The sequence below is a fragment of the Homo sapiens genome, chromosome 12, assembly GCF_000001405.40.
Source record: "Homo sapiens chromosome 12, GRCh38.p14 Primary Assembly".
NCBI lineage: Eukaryota > Metazoa > Chordata > Mammalia > Primates > Hominidae > Homo > Homo sapiens.
The window spans coordinates 11,348,193-11,356,826 of NC_000012.12; the positions used below are offsets into that span (position 1 = coordinate 11,348,193).

Consider the following 8,634-nt stretch of genomic DNA (forward strand, 5'->3'; position numbering starts at 1 on the left):
ATTTCTGCCATTTCAGTTTGTGACTTACACTATTGTATATATATATACTTCAAGTACAAATATTAGCATTACAACTAATTTTACATAAACTCATTCATATTCTCATGCGAACATCTGGAAGATGCCTGGGCAATTCTCTCCACCTGCCCTGAATCAAACCAGTTCCAGGGGAGAAAGATGTCCGTCCCATCTGTGCTATGAAGATTAATGGCCTCCCAGAGACACACCCTTCCTAGTTCCCAGAATCAGTGTATATGTTAACTTACATGACAAAGGGGTACTAAGTTTGCTAATCAATTGACCTGAATATAGAGAGACTTTATGGGATCATCCAAGTACAAGCAATGTAATCACAACATACTTAAATGTTGAATGGGGAGGCAGAAGAGTCAGTGCCAGGGTGATGTGATGTGACGTGACGTGACGTGACGTGACGTGACGTGACGTGACGTGGCGTGATGTGTCATGATGTGATGTGATGTGATGGGAGGCTTATCTGGCTACTGCTGGCATTGAAGATGGAAGAGGGCCAAGGAATGTGGGCAAGTAAATGGGTTCTGCCCTGGAGACTCCAGCATGAAACAGCCTTTCCACATGGATTTAAGCCAGTGAGACCCATTTCTGACTTCTGAGCTACAAATCCACTCACTTTGCGGTAATGTATTATTTATTGCAGCAATAGGAAAGCTAATATACTTTCCAAACATTCATTTCATACTTTTTTGTGGCCGCTCTAATGTGTTTGTGCCACTTTATAAAATATTAGAGAGGAATGAAATTATCATGGCTATTAACACAGGGCAATTAAGCAACATCTTTCCTCATAAAGTAAAAACCACTCTCAAAATTTCATTCCAATGAATAATTGTTGAGCCCATATTCAATGGAGAACAGCTAATAATTGTCCTTCCCTCATCCTTAAACAATTTCCTCCCCTCAGCCAGGATCTATGCCTCCTTTGGAAATATCCTATGCTTCTCTAGATTTCTAAAATTATTCCATCTTCTGTAATTTAGTGGTGAACTTGTGCTATAGCTCAGAACCTTCTTAGAAAATAGGAGATACCAGGTGGACACTCATGGCTAATAAAAAAATATTGCTTCATTTTCTAAGTTAACAACTTAACAACAACAACAGGGAGAAAAGAGATTGCCTTTAACTTCCATGTTAGATTTTATAGCTGACTGCATCTCAGAATATTGTCATAATAAGCAGTTATTGTCATTCTTTGGCCCTCCAGAAAGTCAACAAGCAAAACACCGAGAGATTTAAAAATAAATTTTGCCCTGACGTTTGCCCTTTGCCCATCCACTCTTGCTTTAACTTCCACCTCTCCGTAGCCATTACTTTGATTGTGTTTGGTTGCAGATTGTACAGATCAAGCCATGTTTCAATTCCTGTTACAATTCTTTGAACAAATTCTTCAGGATCTTGATACCATTTTTTTGAATTTTCAAGAAACTTCAGTTCTTGTTTGTAGCTGATCTTGGTGCAAGAGTTTTGACATCCATCGGGTGGAAATGTATCCTCTACTTTCATTATCCAGTTAGAATCATGTCAGCTGAACCAATGGAGAAGTCTGCAGTGTTGGCTATTGTTTGTACTGTTAATCACTAATCCTCTTATATTATGGTATCAACAAGATGAATTTTTTCTTTGCAAATTAATATGAGTGGTCAGCCGCTGTAGGCTTTATGTTCAAAATCATATCATCCCTGCTTAAAGTGAGTTATCTATCTGTGAGCTTCTGATTTTCTTGGCCATTGGCCTCTTAAACTTTTTGAAAAGCATCAATTATTTCACCATTCTTCTACCCAGGCTTCACCATAAATTAGATGTTTGCAGTCACTATAGTTTGATCAGAGTACATGTTGCTGTCATAGAGGCTCTTTTCAAAATACTGTCTTAGACTTCTTGATGCTGCGAGGTAGATCCTGTTCACACATGTTGTGACAATACCGTCTGAGTTCATTTTGGTTCGAAAAATTTTGGAATCCATGCAGAGCTTTTTAAATGCAATATGCATTTTTCATGATCTTTTTAGGACCCAATGTATTACAGAAAGATTTCCTAATACAATAAAGTTCGCTATAGATATCTTTGTGATTTCCAGGTGACTAGGCAGAACAAAAGCATCTATAACGTGTGCATAAGAAAAATTTGGAGGTGGGGGGATGGGGAAATAATCACATACATACGTTTCAAGAACTTTTCCAATAAAAATGGCAGACAAATAATATGATAGGAAAGAAGCACTAACAGTCTTAGGAAGACTTCTATAGAAATGGGTGATGTTTCAGCAGGCTTTTGCTGATTGAAATAATCCCATAGAGCATAGATGTAAGAATCAGGAGACAAACGGGTCACATGCAGAGGCAAAATCCCTGACCACGCAATGTGGTTCAGAATAAAGTGGGAAGTTAAGATATAGGGGTAGGAAGGCTTCACCTATGATAATAGGAGGGAAGCCAGAGACCTGGGTTTCAACTGAACATGGGTTGCTCAACTTAGTGGTGGTTATGGTGAGATCATTCTGTTCTGATTTTTCTGACTTCTTACTGAATTATCTGAGACTATCAGTGGGCAGAGAGGCAGTTTCTAATATTGAACCTTCCTTGCTTGAGAAGCAGACATGCCAGTCTCTGCAAGGTTTTTGGTATGTATGTTATCTCATTAGTCTCCATACTCTAAGGTAGTTGTTATGATTATGCTCATTTTAGATGAGGAAATTGAAGCCCTGAGAAGCCAAGTAGCCTTTTAAGAATCCAGAGATATTAAGAAAAAGAATTAGGTCTTAATTAAAACCTGAGAGTGTCCAAATTCTTTGCTCCTTAAAATCGTGCTGCCTCCTTCATGAAATCCATTCAAGTTCCATTAAAGAATGGTGAGTAACACAGGAAGGGAGAGAAGTGATCACTGTTAAAATAGGGTCAATGAGATAGACAGGGTTCTGGGGATAAGAAGCATAGAGCCATATTCATTCCCTTGAAACCAAACTCAGTTTCTTAGAAATTATAAGGATTTCATTCAGCTTCTGTGACTTTGTTGCATTTGTTGTGTTTTTTGTCCTTAAGATCACTGGAATATCAGTAAACAATCTGAAAATAATTTTAAAATTTCAATTTATGCTATAGAAGTCAGGGAAGGGCCAGGCATGGTGGCTCACACCTATAAACCCAGCAATTTCAGAGGCCGAGGCAAGCAGACCACCAGAGGTCAGGGGATGGAGACCAGCCTGGCCAACATGGGGAAACCTCATTTCTACTAAAAATACAAAAATTAGCCAAGCATGATGGTGAGCACCTATGATCTCAGATACTTGGAAGGCTGAGGCAGGAGAATAGCTTGAACCCAGGAGATGCAGGGGGCAGTGAGCCGAGATCCTGCCACTGCACTCCAGCCTGGGTGATAGACCAAGACTCCATCTTGGGTGGGGGGGGAAATAGAAGTCAGGGAAGTAGAGAAACAGTAAAATATTTTTTCATGGCACCTGGGTAAATTAGGATTAAGGAGGAGAGAAGTTTCCTGGAGCATCAAGGAGGAGGGTTCCTACATGTTCTTATACAGTCTTCTTGGTCCTCAGATCCCACATTCACAAATATTGAGAAACAGACACCACAATCAGAAATTGCAAGCTGATTATTTTATTGGTATATTGAAGTTAGAGCTATGATGACCTTTTTCCAATGTCATGGAATTTGAATCATTTGAATCACTCTCATCTTCTTATTCACTTCCTGAAACAAACAAAGAAGGAAGTTCATAGACCAGACTTGACATGGCAGGAAATGTCGAATTCCTCACTGGTCTTACTGCACTACAGTACATGAGAGCCCATCCTCTCTCCCCCATCCCTTCTACCTCCTGTGTTTCCTCCCTAATTTTTTGTGTGTTCACTCTTTGGATGCCCTTGCACAAAATGTGCTCCAAATTGTTCCTTACGTGATGAAGACAGAAGATCATTCTTAGCTTATTATTACTTGCTGCTGAATTTGTTCACAGATATATTTACACAGATGGGAACTGGAACATATTTTATAACAGTGAGAAGCTGAAACCACCCTCAGTGTCCAGTGACACAGATTGGTTAAAGAAATCACGGTGCAGCCACATAATGGAGTAGTATAAAATGGTAAAAACAAACAGATAACCACTGAAGAGATCTACTTAGCTTCATAGACGTATGTGGAAATTTTCAAAGAAATGTATTTTTTAAATGACTAACATATGTACCTGAATATAAATTATGGTATTAGTTCTGGGGGAAAAATATTCTAGTAGTCTATGTACACATAAATATTTCAAACAGAAGATGCCATAAAGTTAACAGTGGCAGTTTTCTGAAGGAGGGGAGGCAGGTAGGATGAGTCATGCCTTTAAATTTAGATTCATATTTTTCCATTGCATTAGATATTTTTTGTTAGCTTAATCATGTACTTATTGAACAGTAAGAATTTGAAAAATGAGACACCATTTAGCTGCTGAAAGTTCAGGGACCACTTGGCAGGAATACTGGACTCAAGAGGCTGGTGTGAGGCAGGACTGAGCAAACAGTGCTCAGGTGAAAACTTTAAATGGGAGGTCTCTCAGTTTGTGCACAGAAAACAGAGCGCCAGAGAGAACATGGTACTACTTCCTTGTTGCCAACACAACTTAAGACAGATTATTTGGAATTTTGTTTCTCAACATCAGAATTCCTTAAAGAGTTTGTTACAAATATAGGATCTTGTTACCCATTTCCAGAATATGTCAATACAAATCTTTAGAAATGGGATCTGGGACTATACAATGCCAATGGGCTTTTAGCTGATTCATTGGCACAATAAAGCTGGAGAGCTGTAGCAATTAGAGCACTTGGTGAAGAATAAACTGGAATCATACCTGTCATTGAATCCTAGATGACTGGGGAGGCTGTCACTGGGGAGGTCTGGAAGGTCTGCCCCCTTGAGGAGGGCGTGGTGGTCCCTGGGGCTGTCCAGCAGGAGGTGCCTGAGGCTGCTGGGGATTGCCTCCTGCTGGAGGTGGGGGACCTTGAGGATTGTTGCCTTCTTGTTGGGGTGGTCCTTGTGGCTTTCCTGGAGGAGATCGGGCACTTTGGGACTTGCTGCCTCCTTGTGCGGGTGGTCCTTGTGGCTTTCCTGGAGGTGGGGGACCTTGAGGTTTGTTGCCTCCTTGTGGGGGTGGTCCTTGTGGCTTTCCTGGAGGAGGTGGGGGACCTTGGGGCTGGTTGCCTCCTTGTGGGGGTGGTCCTTGTGGCTTTCCTGGAGGAGATTGGGAACTTCGGGACTTGTCTCCTTGTGGGGGTGGTCCTTGTGGCTTTCCTGGAGGTGGGGGACCCTGAGGTTTCTTGCCTCCTTGTGGGGGTGGTCCTTGTGGCTTTCCTGGAGGAGGTGGGGGACCTTGGGGTTGGTTACCTCCTTGTGGGGGTGGTCCTTGTGGCTTTCCTGGAGGAGATCAGGGACTTCGGGACTTGTCTCCTTGTGGGGGTGGTCCTTGTGGCTTTCCTGGAGGTGGGGGACCTTGAGGTCTGTTGCCTCCTTGTGGGGGTGGTCCTTGTGGCTTTCCTGGAGGAGGTGGGGGACCTTGGGGCTGGTTACCTCCTTGTGGGGGTGGTCCTTGTGGTTTTCCTGGAGGAGATCGGGGACTTCGGGACTTGTCCCCTTGTGGGGGTGGTCCTTGTGGCTTTCCTGGAGGTGGGGGACCTTGAGGTTTGTTGCCTCCTTGTGGGGGTGGTCCTTGTGGCTTTCCTGGAGGAGGTGGGGGGCCCTGGGGCTTGTTGCCTCCTTGTGGGGATGGTCCTTGTGGATTTCCTGGAGGACAAAGAGAGAAGAGAAAGACAGAGTAAAAGCCCACACAAGATTCACTGAATAGTTGCAGTAAATTTTTATCAGCTTGGGTAACAAGCTGAGTGGGGAAATACACAAAAATGGAACAAAGACATTAATTTATTTGCATTTTCAGTGAAGACATAGAACTCTGGAGTGGAAAGCTGGGGAAGAACAAAGCAGTTGAGGGCCTCTCAGTATAAAGAGGAGACAGAATGAGGATGCTGCCCATTTCTGTCATCTCCCAGCAGGCATTCCTGGCCGGGGGGATGAGGCAACACACTCCTGTTGTCATCTAAGCCAAGCATCTCTGCCATTCAATTTGGTGGCCTGCTCATGATGCCCAGAATCAAGGTTGCACGAAGAGTGCCTATATTGTTAGGGGCACTAACATTAATCAACTCCTGAAAGGAAAGTTTTGATAAGAAGACACTGGAGAACTGATCCACTCATAAGCAGAAAAAGACAGTCAAAACAGATTGAGAACGAATCAGGCTTTACCTGCTATTAGGGAGGGAGATTCTTCCTGGCTGACATCTAGAAGAGAAGCACAGGATGATGGGAAAAGTTACATCTTGAACCTTTCAAGACTCACAAGTGTTCTACAGGGAAAAGGGTCTTCTCATGACACCCCATGCATCCCCTAAGTTAACTAGTCAGCCACCATCTGTGAAGCTGCTGGAAGGGGAGGAAGGTGTAAGGGGAGACAGGGTTGTTATGACAGAGCAACAGCCATGAACTCAACATAGAAGAGCCCCTTTTTTCCCTCCCTAGCATCCCTCAAGACTTAATGCTAATTTAGTTCACACATGCCAGGTACTTCAATGTGATACTTTGGTGTTCTTATGCCCTCCATTTCCTATAAATACATTGCTTATGTACACATGCTTTCTCAATTGGGGTAACCAGAAGTAATCACTTCAATACAATCTTACCCATACCACTCCCAGCACATTGAAATACTGCGTGTAAGGGAGAGAAAAATGACAATGATTGGCTCTGATATTTCTGTATCTCTAGTTAAACAGAGACAAGTGTTCCATCCAATTCTCTGTCTCTGCAGTATCTCTGATACTGTGTGTGTTTATCGCCATCATCGATGCTGATGCACTGTACAGCAAGGCCACCATCATCCCTGTGTACTTACTGAGATCAGTTTAGGATCTTCACAGCTGGACTTCCATGAATCTGCCTTGCATTCTCTACTGCATCCTTCACAGCACAGTTCTATCTATAAATGCAAATCTTACCTTCTCATTCCCCTGGAACAAATTCTTTATTGGATTTCATTGTACATTAAATAAATTAGAAACCCTTAGTGTGGAATGAGGGTACAACAGGTCTCCTGATCCTAGGCATGAAAACTCTGCAGCCCCATCTGTGTTTTCATTCTCCTCTCCTCCCCGTAATTACCATTATCACCTCCTAAGCCCCAAGCAGAGTCACCACATCTTTTCCCTCTTCTGTTTTACCTTCATTTAAGTTCTGAGCTGAGCTCAGGGCCAGCAAGGCCACTGACAGCAGAATCAACAGCATCTTGCAGGAGGCTCTGGAGTCACTCCCAACTCTGTGCTGGGAGGAACGTGGCAACTCCCTTTATAAAGAGGAGAAGAACAATGGCACCTTTGAGCTCCACACTGGGTGGGCCTCACCACCTCAGAGACTGGCTTCTGCTTTGCTCACTGCAGGTCAGGTGTATCCCTTATTTTTCTTTGAGACTCTAGCCCAGAGAGATGAGTTGGATAGGATATGTTGTTAGTGTCTTATTTCCAAAAGGTACAACTATGACTTGAACAATGGTTTTGAAGGAACTGTGTCCAAGCCATCAGCACTGTGTCATCACTGAACTTTAGATATCATTAGAGTTTCAATCTTTTAGGTAAGACTATCATCCACTTTCCACTGTGCTATTTATTTCTGTTTATGTGTGTGTGAGCAGCGATGCTACAGCCAGCAGTGAAAATGGTCAATATCTCTGCATCTTTTTATGCCCTATTTCCATCTCTTGTGATGTGTGTGTACAGATATTTTCATATTTAGCTCAATTTTTGATGTGATAGAGATGGTTTCTGCTATCTATGAGATGTGTGAGGACAGCACACTTCTGTGCACACATAGATGACAGAAAGCTGCCCCGCAGCCTGCTCAGGATAGGGCTATTGTTCAAGTTTCTGTGGATCTCACTCAGCTGAGGCAAGGCTTGGTCCTGTACAACACAGGAAGTCTAAAATTTTGTATTCTAAAGTATTTTTAGGGGTTATTAATGCAAAGTAGACACAGAAACCACCAGGAAATTTCTAGACCTGAGAAAACTGAATACATAGTTCTTTGAGGGAGCCATGCAATGTCAGGTCGCTAAAATTTCCTTCATGCTCTTCCCTTTCTCTAGAATATTCTATAAAATTCACCCACTGCTTCATTTCTTTTAGGAATTGTATCAAATTCTTACCACTGTTAATTAAGTGGCCACAATTCTACATTCAAATGAGATAATCAGATACCGCCATCAAACCCTCAGTTGCATTGTATTGGTTTTCTTTGTTTAGTCAGTATTTGTGTTACCTGTTTTCTCAGATTCTTCTTCCACAAGGAGTATTTTTTCTACAATATTCTGATATGCATTCCTCCCCACGTTCTTTCTAGTACTTCTTTGTTCATATTTTATTTTCTGAGTCAAGCTCATTATGTGTATTTTTTATTATGTAGCTGGCTTTTCCCCATGAATTTAGTGAGATTTACTTTATTTAATCTTCTACAGAATAAGATATAGTACTCCTAACCTCTTTTTTTCATTCCTGTCTGTGTAATT

At 42.1% G+C, this 8,634-nt stretch overlaps 1 pseudogene across 1 annotated transcript; it reads right to left on the bottom strand.

The window, feature by feature from the left end:
* Positions 1-3,628: 3,628 nt before the first annotated feature.
* PRB1 (proline rich protein BstNI subfamily 1) lies at positions 3,629-7,399 on the bottom strand (annotated as a pseudogene). The gene is made up of 4 exons (NR_160307.2): positions 7,298-7,399; positions 6,327-6,362; positions 4,882-5,810; positions 3,629-3,737 (listed from the first exon to the last, which is right to left on the bottom strand). The product of NR_160307.2 is annotated as a proline rich protein BstNI subfamily 1, transcript variant 1, non-coding (transcript).
* Positions 7,400-8,634: the final 1,235 nt, after the last annotated feature.